The following is an 18,177-nucleotide window of genomic DNA, read 5'->3' on the forward strand; positions in this document are numbered from 1 at the left end:
GCTTAGGCGCAGCGTTGGAGAGGTTGGCGCTGCAATGCCGTCAATAACCCCCGATGACCATTAGAGGGCACACTGATTCCACAGCAGTCTGCACCGGGGGCCCAGCTGTCAAGTGCTCCAAAACCCACTCCCCAATTTACGCCTCCAGTGGTCATCTCCCACAGCCTTCATTTTAACAACCCTCAACACAAAACAGTCATTTTCTTGGGGCGTCCCTGAGGTGTGAACCTCCTCCCTCCCAGACACCCACCCACTCTCCCCATCTTCCTACAATTTGGGCGCTAAAGATTTAATTCCTCTCTGACACCAGATCATTTTTTCACAGCTAATCTGCACAGTCTGGAAGGTGGCAGGGAGGGAAAGAGAGGGAGATCATAGAAGGAATGGGTAACAAGCACTCTGGGCTCACCTTCAACTTTAACGGACTTTCCAGAAACCCGTCACCTTCCACCCCACACCCAAACACACACATCCACGCACTCACTCAGTTTCCTGCCAGGATCCCAAACCAGCACACCTTTCCCTCTTCCCCCGAGGAGACCAGGTAGGAGGCGAGGGAAAAGGTGGGGCGCAAGTGGGCCCCGGTTGCTTCCACACACACCCTCCGTTCAGCCGTCCTTTCCATCCCGGCGAGGGCGCACCTTCAGAGGGTCCTGTCCTCCAAAGAGGTAGGCGTGGGGCGGCCGAGACCGGGGAAGATGGTCCACGGGGAAGCGCGCGGGCTGGGCGGCGGGGAGGAAGGAGTTAAAGATCCTGGATTGGCTCTTCTGTCACTGAGTCTGGGAGGGGAAGCGGCTGGGAGGGAGGGTTCGGAGCTTGGCTCGGGTCCTCCACGGTTCCCTCCGGATAGCCGGAGACTTGGGCCGGCCGGACGCCCCTTCTGGCACACTCCCTGGGGCAGGCGCTCACGCACGCTACAAACACACACTCCTCTTTCCTCCCTCGCGCGCCCTCTCTCATCCTTCTTCACGAAGCGCTCACTCGCACCCTTTCTCTCTCTCTCTCTCTCTCTCTAACACGCACGCACACTCCCAGTTGTTCACACTCGGGTCCTCTCCAGCCCGACGTTCTCCTGGCACCCACCTGCTCCGCGGCGCCCTGCGCGCCCCCCTCGGTCGCGCCCCTTGCGCTCTCGGCCCAGACCGTCGCAGCTACAGGGGGCCTCGAGCCCCGGGGTGAGCGTCCCCGTCCCGCTCCTGCTCCTTCCCATAGGGACGCGCCTGATGCCTGGGACCGGCCGCTGAGCCCAAGGGGACCGAGGAGGCCATGGTAGGAGCGCTCGCCTGCTGCGGTGCCCGCTGAGGCCATGCCGGGGCCCCGGCGCCCCGCTGGCTCCCGCCTGCGCCTGCTCCTGCTCCTGCTGCTGCCGCCGCTGCTGCTGCTGCTCCGGGGCAGCCACGCGGGCAACCTGACGGTAGCCGTGGTACTGCCGCTGGCCAATACCTCGTACCCCTGGTCGTGGGCGCGCGTGGGACCCGCCGTGGAGCTGGCCCTGGCCCAGGTGAAGGCGCGCCCCGACTTGCTGCCGGGCTGGACGGTCCGCACGGTGCTGGGCAGCAGCGAAAACGCGCTGGGCGTCTGCTCCGACACCGCAGCGCCCCTGGCCGCGGTGGACCTCAAGTGGGAGCACAACCCCGCTGTGTTCCTGGGCCCCGGCTGCGTGTACGCCGCCGCCCCAGTGGGGCGCTTCACCGCGCACTGGCGGGTCCCGCTGCTGACCGCCGGCGCCCCGGCGCTGGGCTTCGGTGTCAAGGACGAGTATGCGCTGACCACCCGCGCGGGGCCCAGCTACGCCAAGCTGGGGGACTTCGTGGCGGCGCTGCACCGACGGCTGGGCTGGGAGCGCCAAGCGCTCATGCTCTACGCCTACCGGCCGGGTGACGAAGAGCACTGCTTCTTCCTCGTGGAGGGGCTGTTCATGCGGGTCCGCGACCGCCTCAATATTACGGTGGACCACCTGGAGTTCGCCGAGGACGACCTCAGCCACTACACCAGGCTGCTGCGGACCATGCCGCGCAAAGGCCGAGGTGAGACGCTGGCACACCCCGTCCCGCCGCTTAGCCGCAGGGCCTCCCCTCTGACCTGCCGGAGGCATCGGGACTTTCTCTCTCATCTGGGGGCACTCTTCTTTCTCCTCGCCGTTCTTCATTCTACTTTCAGCTCCCTGGCCCTTTCTACAGCTGAGTTTCTATTTCCCTCTCTTCTTCCGCCACCCCCACCACGTCTCTATCCTCTCATCTCCCCGACCCCCACTCATTCCCTCCCACCCTAGCACAGCTCGGTTCCGGTCCCTTTTTCCCTCCCACATTTTCTCTCTTCCCTATAGCCTTCTCCCTTCTTTCATCCTCTCCTCTCATTGCGCCTCATCCCCTCTCTTCTCCCCCTCCCTCTCCCTCCTCTCTCCCTCCTGGCCCCATCCTTCTCCACCTTCAGCTCCACTATCCCCCTCTCCCTACCCGTTCCTTCCTCCCTTCCGCCTCCCCCTTCCTCCTCCCGCCCACCGCCCCGCACCCGCCCGTTCCACCCTTCGACTTTCTCCTGCTGTGGCCTAGGCTGAGCCGGGAGTTACCACTTAACTCTCACTGGGTCTCTCCTGCACCCTATCTCTAAACTTCCTCCCTTGGGTGCCCCAGCTTTCCTACTCCTGTCTCTCCCGCAGTACCTAGGCTTCTCTCTCTGACTCTCCGTCTTTCTCCAGTTATCTACATCTGCAGCTCCCCTGATGCCTTCAGAACCCTCATGCTCCTGGCCCTGGAAGCTGGCTTGTGTGGGGAGGACTACGTTTTCTTCCACCTGGATATCTTTGGGCAAAGCCTGCAAGGTGGACAGGGCCCTGCTCCCCGCAGGCCCTGGGAGAGAGGGGATGGGCAGGATGTCAGTGCCCGCCAGGCCTTTCAGGTGAGTACCTAGGTTTGAAGCCCAGGCTGTCTCAGCTTGTGGCACATCATTTCTGGGCACTGTGTCCCTCAGCGTCTGAAAGAATTCCAGAAAAGAGGTTTTTGTCTGTTTGTTTCTTTATGCACTCCTGGTAACTCACAGAACAGAAAAGAGGTTGGTGATGCTCACTGGGAATTAGGCAATGAAGGGCAGGGGACTGCCCAGGGGCGCTTCGCCACCAGCAGGCTAAAAAGATAAGAAAATGGGCTTGAGGCGGGAGGAGGATAAAGTCCCACAGCCTGGACAGGACTTGGAGAAGGCATCCCATTGGATCCCCTGCTTTGGAATGGGCATCACTTCATGCAGGGCATAGGGTCCAGTTTGACCTTGAGCTAAGCAGAGACGCAGCTCTGGGAGGTGGGCTCCCAACTGTTGGGGCCCCACAGTACTAGGGAATAGTCAGCTCCCAACTCTCTGCTCTCCACTGACCCCTTTCTCAGGCTGCCAAAATCATTACATATAAAGACCCAGATAATCCCGAGTACTTGGAATTCCTGAAGCAGTTAAAACACCTGGCCTATGAGCAGTTCAACTTCACCATGGAGGATGGCCTGGTAAGAAGGGGTCCCGGGACCCTCCAGCGTGGACCTCCAGCCCCCACTCCATGACCCTCTGCCAGCCTCCATCCTTCCCTATTCCCAGTTCTCCCCTTCCTTCCCTCCCTTCCCATTGTTCCATGTTTCTCGTGATGATGGAGGAGGACACTGGCAAGTTCAGCCTCTGAAACTCAGGTCATCATCAGTAATATGGAGACGATACATCCTGCCCTGTCTACCTAGTAGGATTCAGGAAGTGATGCTAATCCAAAGGCATCGTTTAAATAGTAAAATCTCCCTGTGATATAGGGGTGTTATTTTCTCCCATCCTCTTCCAAAATCCCAGTGCCTCTTGTTCCCTTCCCCACAGCTCCCACCTCCATGCCCTTCATATGCCCACCCCAGCCGACCTCTGTTTGCCCCTACAGGTGAACACCATCCCAGCATCCTTCCACGACGGGCTCCTGCTCTATATCCAGGCAGTGACGGAGACTCTGGCACATGGGGGAACTGTTACTGATGGGGAGAACATCACTCAGCGGATGTGGAACCGAAGCTTTCAAGGTCAGGGCCTGGAGGTGGCTGGAATGGGCTGCCTTGGGGGATGAATCCCAGGTGCCCAGTGTCAAGCCATGAGAAGCCTATTGTCCTGCAGCAGTTACCTATGCACACCAGCCTTTTCCTCCACAGCTTTTTTCAGGCCCATCCCTCAGAAGTCCTACAAAGTGTCCAATCTCAATCATCCCTGCTGGGCACTGAGTTCTTTTACCTTTCTTTTTCTTTTTTCTTTTTTTTTTGAGATGGAGTCTCGCTCTGTCCCCAAGACTGGAGTGTGGTGGTGCAATCTCGGCTCACTTCAACCTCCGCCTCCCAGGTTCAAGCAATTCTCCTGCCTCAGCCTCCTGAGTAGCTGGGATTACAGGTGCCCTCCACCAACACTTGGCTAATTTTTTGTATTTTTTTTAGTAGAGACAGGGTTTCACCACGTTGGTCAGGCTGGTCTTGAACTCCTGACGTCAGGTGATCTGCCCGCCTCAGCCTCCCAAAGTGCTGGGATTACAAGCATGAGCCACAGTGCCCGGCCGTTTTACCATTTACTATCATTCTGTATACATGTATGTTTGGAAGGCAAGGCAAAAAAGATTAGAGGATGAAGAGATGAAGTGGGGCACCCCTGAACTTCTATTCTCTCAAACATAGTCATCTTCCCCCATGTCCTCAGGTGTGACAGGATACCTGAAAATTGATAGCAGTGGCGATCGGGAAACAGACTTCTCCCTCTGGGATATGGATCCCGAGAATGGTGCCTTCAGGGTAAGTTTGTGCACCCAGAAGACAGTGCCAATTCCAAATGACATCTCACCCTCCTACTTCCCCCCCACAGCCCTGCCAGGGCACCTGTTTATCCTGTAGCCATTCCACCATGCCTGGACACTTACAAGAGCCCTGGATAAAACAGACCCAGCTCCAGTCTGGGGAAGCCACCAGAATGATAGGGACTCACAGGCATCACACTTGGGGAGCCCCATGCCTGAGGAGGGAGCACAAGCCTGCCCTCGGGGAGCTCCGAAGGGAGGCAGGCAGGACCGCCTCCCAGCAGAGACAGGGCTGTGAAAGATGCACATTACACAGCTCTGCAAGCGAGCAGGGACAGGAAGGCGCTGAGGCCAATGGCCACAAGGGACAGGTCATCCAGAGAAGGCCTCCTGGAAGACGGGCACATGGACTGGGCCTGCGAATGTAGGCTAAGGTGAACATTACCTTCTCCTGTTTTCTACCAAGAAAATAAGTAGAGAAAAATCAATGCTTGGTTGGTACTTCAACCAAGATTATAAACTCCCTGAGTGTAGAGATCGGGTTCTAAATGGAGTTTTCTTTATAAACCCCTTGATAGTTTTCAGGTGTTTCCACTTGAGTACTATGTGTGTGGTATGAGGTCCTGTGTCCAGTTGCAGTGGGGACTTGGTAAGCAGGTGACAACCCAGATATATATGTAGGCTCTAGAAGCAGAGCTGGGGTAGGTGGGAGGTGAGACTGCTGCACTCACAGCATGCCTTCCCCGCAGGCCCTGGCCTAGCCACCACTCCTGCTCTCCCTTAGGTTGTACTGAACTACAATGGGACTTCCCAAGAGCTGGTGGCTGTGTCGGGGCGCAAACTGAACTGGCCCCTGGGGTACCCTCCTCCTGACATCCCCAAATGTGGCTTTGACAACGAAGACCCAGCATGCAACCAAGGTGACTGCCCCTTGCCTTCCAGGCCTCCATCCCAGAGATGCTGCATCCTTCCCCTAAGCACAGTCGAGTAGGTGCTCCTGTCCCATGCTGAGGGCTTTCTGGAGAATGACTCCTGCCTTTTTCTTCCCTTCATCCATCATCCCAGTTCACTGATGGACTATTAGAAAGTTCTTCCTCCTGCTGTCTAACCCAAATCTCTCTTGCTGCAATATGGACTCTCTCCTGCAGATCACCTTTCCACCCTGGAGGTGCTGGCTTTGGTGGGCAGCCTCTCCTTGCTCGGCATTCTGATTGTCTCCTTCTTCATATACAGGTGAGCTGTGATGTGGGGGGTTGAGTGAGGCTGGGGGACCCGGAGAACCAATAGCAGAGGAGGCGGTGGGGACCCAGAGGGAAGAGGGCAGGGGTGAAGGGGCACCAGGGGAAAACCAAGGGAGATGAGGAAGAAAGGAGGCTTAAAAGCCAGAGGAGAAAGAAAGAGAAGGGAATGGCAGGGCGAGGGGAGGAGACAAGGATAGGAATGGCCAAGGAGAGTCAGAAAGATCCAAGAAGCAGAGAAGTTGATGGGTGACATCATAGGGGCGTGGACTGGTTTTCCTTGCTACTCTTGCAGGCCAGATAGGAAGCAACTTTCTGAACCTTTGCAATCATGCCCATGTTAGCTGAGGAGGGTGAGCCCTGGTGTGTGCCAGGTGCCCAACCTAGAATGGAGAAGGGAGCTGAATGAGCCTTGTTCCTGCCGTCCAGTGGAGGCTAAAATGAAGTACAGGAGGAGTTAATGATATACAAAAGCAAGGAGGGAGGGGAGAAAAATCACTGCTGGTTGAGCATATAATGTGTGCCAGGCACTTCCACGTACACTATTTCTTTCTTTCTTTTTTTTTTTTTTTTTTTTTTTTGAGACGGAGTCTCGCTCTGTTGCCAGACTGGAGTGCAGTGGCATGATCTAGGCTCACTGCAACCTCCGCCTCCCAGTTTCAAGCAATTCTCCTGCCTCAGCCTCCCATGTAGCTGGGACTACAGGCACATGCCACCACGCTCAGCTAATTTTTGTATTTTTAGTAGAGACAGGGTTTCACCATGTTGGCCAGGATGGTCTCGATCTCTTGACCTCATGATCCACCCACCTTGGCCTCCCAAAGTGCTGGGATTACAGGCATGAGCCACTGTGCCTGGCCTCATGTTCACTATTTCTTTTCATTCTTATAATAGTTAAGAATGAAATAGATATTGCGGCCTCATTCCCAAGTAAGGACATTGAGGTGATTCCCCCAAGGTCCCCAGTAAGGCAGAATTTCCCCCAGCCATCCTGATTCTCAGTCCAGAGGATAGAATTCCCCCTCCATCTCTGAGTGCATGGTGTGGTCCCACGGCTCTGAGGAGGGGCTGCTGAGCACCCTGCCCTGGGTCAGCGGCTCAGCCACAGGCTCAGATGCAGCCTTCGTATCCCAGGAAGATGCAGCTGGAGAAGGAACTGGCCTCGGAGCTGTGGCGGGTGCGCTGGGAGGACGTTGAGCCCAGTAGCCTTGAGAGGCACCTGCGGAGTGCAGGCAGCCGGCTGACCCTGAGCGGGGTAAGAACGCTGGTGTTTGTGTTGGGGGGCAATAAAGGAGAGGTGGGTACAAGGGGCAGTGCCTGAGGGATAGGTAAGGGAGCAGGATTCTAGTCCCAGCTCTGCTTTCACTTGCTGTGTGACCTTGAGCGACTCATAGTCCCTCTCCGAGACTGTCTCAGATGATGATTACAGCAGCAGAGCCTCCCTCACAGGGCTCTTTTAAAGGTCAGAGGAGATAGTACCTGTGAAAACACTTTAAAAAAAAAAAAAGTAAATGAGGAGGAAATTTTATGATGTGGAACATAAAGCAGGGTGGGCCAGGCACAGTGGCTCACATCTGCAATCCCAGCACTTTGGGAGACCGAGGCAGGAGGATTGCTTGTGCCTGGGAGTTCAAGACCAGCCTGGGCAACAGAGCAAGACATCGTCTCTACAAAGAATACAAAGATTAGCAGGGCATGGTGGCGCATACCTGTAGTCCCAGCTACTCTGGAGGCTGAGGTGAAAGGATCATCTGAGCCCAGGAGTCTGAGGCGGCAGTGACCTAGGATAGCACCACTGCACTCCAGCCTGGATGACACAATGATACTACATCTCAAAAAAAAACCCAACAACAAAAAGGAAGGGTGACACAAAGATAAGGCAGGATAAGGCAGGGAAATAAAGACCAGAGCACAAGCAATCAGGATGCAGACTGGGCCCACCGGCTGACCATTCCTCCTGCTCTCCCTCCTTTCAGAGAGGCTCCAATTACGGCTCCCTGCTAACCACAGAGGGCCAGTTCCAAGTCTTTGCCAAGACAGCATATTATAAGGTGGGCCTGGGGAAAGATCACTGGGCCTTGGGACTGGGGCAGGAGTGTACTCTGATGGAGGACTGGTGGGGGGTTCTGAGGGAAGGAGTAAGCTGGTGGGGAGCAGCAGATGGGGGCCCTGGGGGTGGGCTATTGGGAACAAGTGAGGGTCCTGAGGGCAGGGATGGGCTGTCGGGAGCAGCTGGAATTCCCAGGACATGGGACCATGCTCTTCACAGTGACAGTCTCCATTCCATGCCCAGGGCAACCTCGTGGCTGTGAAACGTGTGAACCGTAAACGCATTGAGCTGACACGAAAAGTCCTGTTTGAACTGAAGCATGTAATGTGGGGAGTGAGGCAGTGGCATGGAGAAGGGGCCCTCGGGGACGCAAGGGAGACTGGCCAACAGAACTAGTTATGGAGGGACCTCAGGGTACCCCAAGAAAGGGGCAGGGACTGGAGCCCTGGGATGGACCTTCATCTTGTGGGTGGGAGTGGGGGTATCCTAAGCTAGGAGAAGAGACCACTGGAGATAACCTGGAGGAATCTTGAGGGGCCATATGTGATGTCCCTGGGGGAGAGAGGGCTTAGGATGCAGAGGGAGTAGGAGCAGATTCTGGGGAGGGTGGGCTAAAGGACATGGGTGGGAATCACCAGGGAAGATCTTAGTGATGGTTGCAGAAAGTGAATAAGGAGTTAAGAAGAGTGAGGGTCCCTGAAGCTAGTGAGCAGCTTGGTGAGGAGCGAGGTCTCTGTCAAGCTCCTGATGCTGGTCCCACTTGCAGATGCGGGATGTGCAGAATGAACACCTGACCAGGTTTGTGGGAGCCTGCACCGACCCCCCCAATATCTGCATCCTCACAGAGTACTGTCCCCGTGGGAGCCTGCAGGTGAGGGGGACAAGGGGTGTCAAGAAACCTGGGTTCTAGCCCTGGCTCTGCCCCTGACTGGCCATAAGACCCCAGGCATGCCTCGCCCTCTTTCTGACCTTTCTGGCCCCATCTGTAAAAATGGGAGTTGGGGAAGGGCAGTGGCACTAGAGTCAATCCAAAGTTTTGTCCTGTTCTACCAGTTCACATCAGTAGGACCCTGCACCCTCCTCCAACTCCCAGGGGGATCTGCAGGGGATTGGTCTGACTCTTATTGCCCCAGCAGGACATTCTGGAGAATGAGAGCATCACCCTGGACTGGATGTTCCGGTACTCACTCACCAATGACATCGTCAAGGTATGCCCCTAAGCACCTATTGGATGTGTAGAGCAGGGGCCAGGCATGCTTCTCCTGGCCACGGGTGTAGGTCCCACTCCTGGCCAATACCTCTGCCCACTCACATTTCCAGGGCATGCTGTTTCTACACAATGGGGCTATCTGTTCCCATGGGAACCTCAAGTCATCCAACTGCGTGGTAGATGGGCGCTTTGTGCTCAAGATCACCGACTATGGGCTGGAGAGCTTCAGGGACCTGGACCCAGAGCAAGGACACACCGTTTATGCCAGTGAGCCTTGACTCTTGAACCTAACACCTGCCCCCAGCACCACCCAGTAGGGAGACTGATGCAAGGCCTCTGATGGGCTTGGGCATGCTTGTCCTGACTCCAGCCTCAATTCATTCACCCATGAAAAAGGGAAGGCCAGACGAAGTGGTTTCTAAGGCCTCCTCTAGCTCTAACACTCTGTGATGCATCCAGATCAGTTTCGGCCACACCCTTGTTTCCCCCTCACCCCTTAGCTTTGGGCTCCCTCACTCGGTGACTACCGACCTCTGACCCACAGAAAAGCTGTGGACGGCCCCTGAGCTCCTGCGAATGGCTTCACCCCCTGTGCGGGGCTCCCAGGCTGGTGACGTATACAGCTTTGGGATCATCCTTCAGGAGATTGCCCTGAGGAGTGGGGTCTTCCACGTGGAAGGTTTGGACCTGAGCCCCAAAGGTGAGAGGAGCACACCTTCCTTAAACCCAGCCACAGTCTCAACGAACCCCAGCCCCAGGGAGAGGGTCCCCTGGCAGCACCACCACACCTTCCTTCTGTAATGGGGTTCAGTCACCACCCTTTGACCCATTGCTGCCAGTGACCAGTCCCCCGCCCCCATGCCTTGGTCTTGGACTTCCCCTGCCATCTCAGCTGGTTGCCCCAGTCTCTCACTAGGCCCTTGGCCAGCCCCACCCCTCAGCTCCTCTACCCCCCCAATACAGAGATCATCGAGCGGGTGACTCGGGGTGAGCAGCCCCCCTTCCGGCCCTCCCTGGCCCTGCAGAGTCACCTGGAGGAGTTGGGGCTGCTCATGCAGCGGTGCTGGGCTGAGGACCCACAGGAGAGGCCACCATTCCAGCAGATCCGCCTGACGTTGCGCAAATTTAACAGGTCCCTGGTGTTTGTCATGGATCCCCCAGGCCCTTCCTCCACAGCCACCATTTACCTAATGCTTCTGGCTCTGGCTTATCCCAGCAGTGGCAGAGGGAGACCACTCACCTCCTCCCTGTACATAGTCAGCTCCAGCTCAGCACAGCCTCATGACCCTCTTCGCAAGTACAGCATGACTCAGCTGTCCCCACAGTCCCCTGCCATTCATGCCCCTTCCCTCCACCATCGACACCCCACACCCTTCCTGCCCACTCGCCTTGCTGGCCTCTAGACTTCTCAGCAGTGTGTAGGATAGATGGGCCTCCCGCCTCCTGCCCTGTAGGCTCTTGGCCCTCCACGGGAGCTCCTGCCCCACCCCTTGATTTCCCTTCCCCAGCGTGCCCACCAGGCCCAGTTCCTCCAGACACACCCTTCTGTGGACATCACTTTGTCCGCAATTGACCCTTGTCATTCTCCACCTCCTTTACCTCCTTCTAACTCACTGGGTTCAACAAAGATGAACAAAATGTCCATATGTCTGAAGCTTCATACTTGACCTTGGGGTCTCAGAAAAGAATTGAACTTTCTTCCTTCTGTTTTCCCCTGCTCCCCGGTATCCTGCTATGCCCTCAACCCTGAGCGTCTCTAGAGACCTCACTGCAGTCTGGAGGGGGAAGTGCCTAGGGGCGGGCGCTCACGGTAGGCTGTGCTGCTCCTCTCTTACCACCCCCACCGCCACCCTCTGCCCCCAGGGAGAACAGCAGCAACATCCTGGACAACCTGCTGTCCCGCATGGAGCAGTACGCGAACAATCTGGAGGAACTGGTGGAGGAGCGGACCCAGGCATACCTGGAGGAGAAGCGCAAGGCTGAGGCCCTGCTCTACCAGATCCTGCCTCAGTGAGTGCCTGAGTCTGGGGACCCCCCCCAACACAAAGCCCCTGTCCCGACCCCCAACTCTGATCCTGCACCTGCCCTGACCCCTTAGCTCAGTGGCTGAGCAGCTGAAGCGTGGGGAGACGGTGCAGGCCGAAGCCTTTGACAGTGTTACCATCTACTTCAGTGACATTGTGGGTTTCACAGCGCTGTCGGCGGAGAGCACACCCATGCAGGTAGGCCAGGGTTCAGCCACAGGTGCCAGGCAAGCTCAGCATCTGGATCCCACCAGACCTGCCTTCTGGTTCTGCTTTACCCACCTGACCCCAGGTGGGGTCCCCTACTTCCTGTCTCTCTTAGCTTCTCTTCCCTTCCAGGTGGTGACCCTGCTCAATGACCTGTACACTTGCTTTGATGCTGTCATAGACAACTTTGATGTGTACAAGGTGAGGGTGGGAGTGGGGATGGGAAGGGACAGACAGACATGGACAAGGTCAGAAAAAGATGAGGGGTAGGCAGAATGATGTGGAGTCTTAAGAGAGGAGATCGGGGACACGGGCAGAGACAGTGACACAGGGAGACCCGGGAACAGGCAGAGAACCCATGTGGGATGGGGGATGAGCAAAGACAGATGAGGGTACAGAATGACAGACGCTGCACCCGGTGTGACGGTGTGGCCGGCCGCACAGTTGCAGCCGTCAAGTCCTGCACCCCCTCGCCACTCCCACAGGTGGAGACAATTGGCGATGCCTACATGGTGGTGTCAGGGCTCCCTGTGCGGAACGGGCGGCTACACGCCTGCGAGGTAGCCCGCATGGCCCTGGCACTGCTGGATGCTGTGCGCTCCTTCCGAATCCGCCACCGGCCCCAGGAGCAGCTGCGCTTGCGCATTGGCATCCACACAGGTAAGGCCACTGAAGGTGCAGGCGGGCATCCAGAGGCCAAGGCTTCGCAAGGGAAACTTGTCCCCTGGCCCAGCCCCTCGCCCTTTCATCTCTCTCTCTCTCTCTCTCTCTCTCTCTCTCTCTCTCTGTCTCTCTCTCTCTCTCTCTCTCTCTCTCTCTCTCACACACACACACACACACACACACAGAGCTGGGACCTCAGATCCTGCCTCCTGCCTGTCTTGGATTGTCCACCTACCTCCCTTAACACCCCTCCCTCCCTCACTCGCTGATGGGCTCTGCTCCTTCCCTTGCTCCTCCCAGGACCTGTGTGTGCTGGAGTGGTGGGACTGAAGATGCCCCGTTACTGTCTCTTTGGGGATACAGTCAACACAGCCTCAAGAATGGAGTCTAATGGGGAAGGTACAGTGCCCCCTCCTAGAGGGAATGGGGAGGGCAGGGTGGCTGAGGGAAATGCCATCCTGGGGCAGCCTGTGCCTGCACAGCCCGTTTCAGCTCCTAGCCCTTTCGCCTCCCAAGTTCCCCTTCTCATAATATTAAGAGTTCAACCTGGGCTCATCAACTTGACTGTAACCAGAGACTCAGGTTCCTGCTGCCCCTCTTGTCAAACGATGTAAAAGTATTTCCGGGCCAGTGCTGGAGAGTTCCCAGCAGGAATCTGATTTTAAGACCCTCTGTGGGCCGGGCGTGGTGACTCACACCTGTAATCCCAGCACTTTGGGAAGCTGAGGCAGGCGGATCACCTGAGGTCGGGGGTTCGAGACCAGCCTGACCAACATGATGAAATCCCGTCTCTACTAAAAATACAAAAAACTAGCCAGGTGTGATGGCAGGCTCCTGTAATCCCAGCTACTTGGGAGGCTGAGGCAGAAGAATTGCTTGAACCCGGGAGGCAGAGGTTGCGATGAGCCAAGATTACACCACGCACCCCAGCTTGGGCAATAAGAGTTAAACTCTGTCTCAAAAAAAAAAAAAAAAAAAAAAAAAAAGACCCTCTGCTCCACCTTTGATGTGGTAAAGATGGCTTCAGAGCCAGCATAAGTGAGGCTGTGAATCTCAGCTCCACAGCTGGCTGTGTGTCAGTTTGCTATACCTCTCTGAGCCATGGTTTTCCTCATCTGTAAAAAGAGGGAAAAAATCTATCTCACAGGAATTATGTGAGAAACCCATTAAAAATGTCTACCACATAATTGTCATTTAACTTTTCCAAGCCTTAGCGGATTATCTGTAAAATGATGTCTATCTCAGGATTGCAAGAAGCCTAGCACAAACCCTGGTACCCAGCAGGCACCTAATAAATTCTTACTCCTACCCGCCCCTTGCTCTTGCCTCCTGTTTATCTTCTATCCTTCTGCTGTATTCGACACAATTCAATGCAGTAAACATTTATTGAGTGACTACTGAGTGCCAGGCCCTGGGATAGTAACATGGCCCAGATCCAGAGTTAGCTGAGAAATTCATGTGGACCCCATCTAAACCTTATGGTGAAAGAAAGGCTGCTTGGGAGCCAGTCCTGGGAGCCCAGAGGGATCTAGTTCGGCAAATATTCCCTGGGCACTATTTTGGGGGCTGTCAGAGTACAGCCCCTTGTTGAGGGTCCAGTCCTCAAGGAGCACATTCCCAGAAATTGTTCAACATTCTGGGCGCTGGGGGTGCTTGTAATCCCAGCACTTTGGGAGGCCGAGGTGGGCAGATCACTTGAGGCCAGGAGTTGGAGACTAGCCTGGCCAACATGGTGAACCTCCTGTCTCTACTAAAAATACAAAAAATTAGCTGGGCGTGGTGGCACGTGCCCGTAATCCCAGCTACTCAGGAGGCTGAGACATGAAAATCACTTGAACCCAGGAGGTGGATGTTGCAGTGAGCCGAGACTGCACCCCTGGGCAACAGAGCGAGACTCTGTCTCAAAAAAAAAAAAGAGAGAAAGAAAGAAAAGAAAAGAAAGAAACTGTTAAACACAACAAGGCCACTGTGATTGATGCAAACCCCAGAAGTAGGGACATGAGTTCAGACAGTGGTCAAAGAGAGGGTGTGGCAATATTGGGCCCCACTCCATCACTGACCTCCTCAGCCACTTGGGCAGATCACCCTGGGCCTCAGTTCCTCGGCCACAAAATGAGGGTATAGCATGAAATCATGAAAGCAACAATTTACATAGTGCTTCCTAGGTAGCACATTCCGTTTGAATACTTTATGGATGTTAAATTTAATCCTCACAACAAGGTTTTGAGATGGGTACTGACACTATCAGCATTTTACAGATTAGGAAAATGAAGCAGAGAGAATTTATTTTACATACCTAAGCAAGTATCCAAGCTGAGGTTCATACTGAGGCAGTGCAGGATCCAAAGTGCCAGCTCCTAACCACCATGCTGTGTAGAGCCGGGTGACACTCCAGAGAGTGCTGTCCAACAGGATGTTCCATAGTCATGAAAATGTTCTGTATTCTGTGCTGTCCAATACAGTAGCCTCTAGGCACATATGGCTACTTATCACTGGAAATGTGACGGGTGCAACTGAGGCCCTGATTTTTTTTTTTTTTTTTGGAGACAGAGTTTCGCTCTGTCGCCCAGCCTGGATGGAGTGCAGTGGTGCAATCTCGGCTCACTGCAACCTCCGCCTCCCAGGTTCAAGCGATTCTCCTGCCTCAGCCTCCCAAGTAGCTGGAATTACAGGTGAGTGCCACCACACACAGCTAATTTTTGTATTTTTAGTAGAGACGGGGTTTCGCCATATTGGCCAGGATGGTCTCGAACTCCTGGCCTCAAGTGATCCTCCTGCCTCAGCCTCCCAAAGTGCTGGGATTACAGGTGTGAGCCACAGCACCCAGCCTGAATTTTTAACTGTATTTAGTTTAAATTAATTTAAGTTGAAACAGGCACATGTGATTAGTGGCTACTGTATTGGATTACACAGCTCCAGAGTTCTAAATGAGAGGCTAATGTGGTCACGCACTACATTCAGGGGGTGGGGCCCCTCTGAGCTAGAGGGCTTCCTGGCCCAAAAGAGGGAGAGAGGGTACCTGTCCACCTGTCCACCCCCACAGTCCCTGGTCTCTTTTGCCTCTACTTTCCTGCTCTCCTCTCTCACATTGCTCACCTTCCCTTCTCCCCTGTCCTACCCAGCCCTGAAGATCCACTTGTCTTCTGAGACCAAGGCTGTCCTGGAGGAGTTTGGTGGTTTCGAGCTGGAGCTTCGAGGGGATGTAGAAATGAAGGTAGAGGGAGAAGCCTCTGCCCTCCCCACCTTTTGGGGTCCTAGAGGGAGTTACCCTTCTCAAGCAGCCAATGCCACTCCCATCCCTAAGGCTCTCATCTGACTGGGGAAAGGGCATGTGCCACTCCCCAGCCCATCCTCTTTTTTCCCTCCAGGGCAAAGGCAAGGTTCGGACCTACTGGCTCCTTGGGGAGAGGGGGAGTAGCACCCGAGGCTGACCTGCCTCCTCTCCTATCCCTCCACACCTCCCTACCCTGTGCCAGAAGCAACAGAGGTGCCAGGCCTCAGCCTCACCCACAGCAGCCCCATCGCCAAAGGATGGAAGTAATTTGAATAGCTCAGGTGTGCTGACCCCAGTGAAGACACCAGATAGGACCTCTGAGAGGGGACTGGCATGGGGGGATCTCAGAGCTTACAGGCTGAGCCAAGCCCACGGCCATGCACAGGGACACTCACACAGGCACACGCACCTGCTCTCCACCTGGACTCAGGCCGGGCTGGGCTGTGGATTCCTGATCCCCTCCCCTCCCCATGCTCTCCTCCCTCAGCCTTGCTACCCTGTGACTTACTGGGAGGAGAAAGAGTCACCTGAAGGGGAACATGAAAAGAGACTAGGTGAAGAGAGGGCAGGGGAGCCCACATCTGGGGCTGGCCCACAATACCTGCTCCCCCGACCCCCTCCACCCAGCAGTAGACACAGTGCACAGGGGAGAAGAGGGGTGGCGCAGAAGGGTTGGGGGCCTGTATGCCTTGCTTCTACCATGAGCAGAGACAATTAAAATCTTTATTCCAGTGACAGTGTCTCTTCTTGAGGGAGAGAGGGTTGCCAGAAAACAGTCAGTTCTCCACTCTCTACTTCAAATAAGACTCACTTCTTGTTCTACAAGGGTCTAGAAGGAAAAGTAAAAAAAAAAGACTCTCGATTCTTAAGCTGGGAATGCAGGCTCTGAGAGTAGTAACAGCCTATGAATTGCCCAGCAGTGCTGAAACTGGTTTAAGGACCCATTTACATCCTTAAGAATTATTATTATTGGCCGGGCACAGGGGCTCATGCCTGTAATCCCAGCACTTTGGGAGGCTGAGGTGGATGGATCACCTGAGGTCAAGAGTTCAAAACCAGCCTGGCCAACATGGTGAAACCCAGTCTCTACTAAAAATACAAAAATTAGCTGGGTATGGTGGCACGCGCCTGTAATCCCAGCTACTCAGGAGACTGAGGCAGGAGAATCTCTTTTTTTTTTTTTTTTTTTGAGACGGAGTCTCGCTCCTTCGCCCAGGCTGGAGTGCAGTGGTGCCATCTCGGCTTACTGCAAGCTCTGCCTCCCAGGTTCACCCCATTCTCCTGCCTCAGCCTCCCGAGTAGCTGGGACAGGCGCCCACCACCTCGCCCGGCTAATTTTTTGTATTTTTAGTAGAGACGGGGTTTCACCATGTTAGCCAGGATGGTCTCGATCTCCCAACCTCATGATCCGCCCGCCTCGGCCTCCCAAAGTGCTGGGATTACAGGCGTAAACCACCACACCCGGCCGAGAATCTCTTGAACCCAGGAGGCGGAGGTTGCAGTGAGCCGAGATGGCGCCACTGCACTCCAGCCTGGGCAACAGAGGGAGACTGTCTCAAAAAAAAAAAAAAAAAAAAAAAAAAAAAAACCAGGCACACTCTTGTAATCTCAGTACTTTGGGAGGCTGAGGTGGGCAAATCACATGAGATGAGGAGTTCGAGACCAGCCTGACCAACATGGAGAAACCCAGTCTCTACTAAAAATACAAAATTAGTTGCCAGACGCGGTGGCTCACACCTGTAATCCCAGCACTTTGAGAGGCTGAGGCAGGTGGATCATGAGGTCAGGAGTTCGAGACCATCCTGGCCAATATAGGGAAACCCCGTCTTTACTAAAAATAGAAAAATTAGCCAGATATGGTGGCACATGCCTGTAGTCCCAGCTACTCAGGAGGCTGAGGGAGGAGAATCGCTTGAACCTGGGAGGCAGAGGTTGTGGTGAGCTGAGATTGCACCACTGTACTCCAGCCTGGGCAACAGAGCGAGACTCTGTCTCAAAAAAAAAAAAAAAAAATACAGAATTAGCCGGGCATAGCGATGCATGCCTGTAATCCCAGGTACTCAGGTGACTGAGGCAGGAGAATTGCTTGAACCCAGGAGGTGGAGGCTTCAGTGAGCCAAGATCTCACCACTGCACTCCAGCCTGGGCCACAGAGCGAGACTATCTTAAAAAAAAAAAAAAAAGGCTAGGTATAGTGGCTCAACCCTGTAATCCCAGCAGCTTGGGAGGCCAAGGTGGGTGGATCACAAGGTCAGGAGTTTGAGATCAGCGTGGCCTACATGGTGAAACCCCATCTCTACTAAAAATACAATAATTAGCCAGGCACGGTGGCTCATGTCTGTAATCCCAGCACTTTGGGAGGCTAAGGCGGGTGGATCACCTGAGGTCAGAAGTTCGAGACCAGCCTGACCAACATGGAGAAACCCCATCTCTACTAAAAATACAAAATTAGCCAGGTGTGGTGGTACATGCCTGTAATCCTAGCTACTAGGGAGGCTGAGGCAGGAGAATCACTTGAACCTGGGAGGCAGAGGTTGCGGTGAGCCGAGATCGCGCCATTGCACTCCAGCCTGGGCAACAAGAGTGAAACTCCATCTCAAAAAAAAAAAAAAAGGTACAATAATTAGCTGGGCGTGGTGGTGGGTGCCTATAATCCCAGCTACCCAGGAGGCTGAGGCAGGAGAATTGCTTGAACCCGAGAGGCAGAAGTTGCAGTGAGCCG

General features: G+C 54.9%; 1 protein-coding gene and 1 non-coding gene across 4 annotated transcripts, besides 8 other annotated features; one reads left to right on the forward strand and one right to left on the reverse strand.

Moving 5' to 3' along the window:
- Positions 123-1,104: an enhancer, noted in NCBI's record as "H3K27ac-H3K4me1 hESC enhancer chr1:153650401-153651382 (GRCh37/hg19 assembly coordinates)". NCBI's record gives its function as "activates a minimal SCP1, AML or CMV promoter by ChIP-STARR-seq in primed H9 embryonic stem cells {active_cell/tissue: H9 hESC(primed)}" and the evidence as "EXISTENCE:reporter gene assay evidence [ECO:0000049][PMID:30033119]".
- Positions 886-16,190, forward strand: NPR1 (natriuretic peptide receptor 1). Of its 3 annotated transcripts, NM_000906.4 has the most exons (22): positions 886-2,027; positions 2,699-2,898; positions 3,378-3,491; positions 3,902-4,037; positions 4,696-4,787; positions 5,574-5,709; positions 5,938-6,022; positions 7,162-7,282; positions 8,004-8,078; positions 8,321-8,398; positions 8,844-8,948; positions 9,214-9,285; positions 9,398-9,554; positions 9,832-9,987; positions 10,251-10,419; positions 11,151-11,297; positions 11,386-11,509; positions 11,651-11,719; positions 12,004-12,178; positions 12,482-12,580; positions 15,304-15,395; positions 15,550-16,190. In NM_000906.4, exons 1-22 carry the CDS (start codon positions 1,307-1,309, stop codon positions 15,610-15,612), a joined length of 3,186 nt encoding a protein of 1,061 aa, NP_000897.3. In that variant the 5' UTR covers positions 886-1,306; the 3' UTR covers positions 15,613-16,190. The 3 variants fall into 3 exon arrangements, with proteins under 3 accessions (NP_000897.3, XP_005245275.1, XP_016856863.1); XM_005245218.3 differs by lacking the exon at positions 8,321-8,398; XM_017001374.3 differs by lacking the exons at positions 10,251-10,419; positions 11,151-11,297; positions 11,386-11,509; ... (3 more) ...; positions 15,304-15,395; positions 15,550-16,190 and having other exon boundaries at positions 9,788-9,879.
- Positions 1,105-2,085: an enhancer, noted in NCBI's record as "H3K27ac-H3K4me1 hESC enhancer chr1:153651383-153652363 (GRCh37/hg19 assembly coordinates)". NCBI's record gives its function as "activates a minimal SCP1, AML or CMV promoter by ChIP-STARR-seq in primed H9 embryonic stem cells {active_cell/tissue: H9 hESC(primed)}" and the evidence as "EXISTENCE:reporter gene assay evidence [ECO:0000049][PMID:30033119]".
- Positions 1,627-1,686: a silencer, noted in NCBI's record as "silent region_1344". NCBI's record gives its function as "represses an Ori minimal core promoter by ATAC-STARR-seq in GM12878 lymphoblastoid cells {active_cell/tissue: GM12878}" and the evidence as "EXISTENCE:reporter gene assay evidence [ECO:0000049][PMID:35858748]".
- Positions 6,703-7,204: an enhancer, noted in NCBI's record as "H3K4me1 hESC enhancer chr1:153656981-153657482 (GRCh37/hg19 assembly coordinates)". NCBI's record gives its function as "activates a minimal SCP1, AML or CMV promoter by ChIP-STARR-seq in naive H9 embryonic stem cells {active_cell/tissue: H9 hESC(naive)}" and the evidence as "EXISTENCE:reporter gene assay evidence [ECO:0000049][PMID:30033119]".
- Positions 7,205-7,704: an enhancer, noted in NCBI's record as "H3K4me1 hESC enhancer chr1:153657483-153657982 (GRCh37/hg19 assembly coordinates)". NCBI's record gives its function as "activates a minimal SCP1, AML or CMV promoter by ChIP-STARR-seq in naive H9 embryonic stem cells {active_cell/tissue: H9 hESC(naive)}" and the evidence as "EXISTENCE:reporter gene assay evidence [ECO:0000049][PMID:30033119]".
- Positions 9,108-10,307: an enhancer, noted in NCBI's record as "CDK7 strongly-dependent group 2 enhancer chr1:153659386-153660585 (GRCh37/hg19 assembly coordinates)". NCBI's record gives its function as "activates an origin of replication core promoter dependent on BRD2, BRD4, P300/CBP, MED14 and CDK7 cofactors, with strong dependence on CDK7, by STARR-seq in HCT116 cells {active_cell/tissue: HCT116}" and the evidence as "EXISTENCE:reporter gene assay evidence [ECO:0000049][PMID:35650434]".
- Positions 9,108-10,503: a biological region, named in NCBI's record as "CDK7 strongly-dependent group 2 enhancer GRCh37_chr1:153659386-153660585".
- Positions 9,806-10,503: an enhancer, noted in NCBI's record as "H3K4me1 hESC enhancer chr1:153660084-153660781 (GRCh37/hg19 assembly coordinates)". NCBI's record gives its function as "activates a minimal SCP1, AML or CMV promoter by ChIP-STARR-seq in primed H9 embryonic stem cells {active_cell/tissue: H9 hESC(primed)}" and the evidence as "EXISTENCE:reporter gene assay evidence [ECO:0000049][PMID:30033119]".
- On the reverse strand, positions 11,903-11,991 carry MIR8083 (microRNA 8083). The gene has a single exon (NR_107050.1). It is a non-coding gene; the product is annotated as a microRNA 8083 (primary transcript).
- Positions 16,191-18,177: the final 1,987 nt, after the last annotated feature.

This window comes from Homo sapiens, chromosome 1 (genome assembly GCF_000001405.40).
Source record: "Homo sapiens chromosome 1, GRCh38.p14 Primary Assembly".
Classification (NCBI taxonomy): domain Eukaryota; kingdom Metazoa; phylum Chordata; class Mammalia; order Primates; family Hominidae; genus Homo; species Homo sapiens.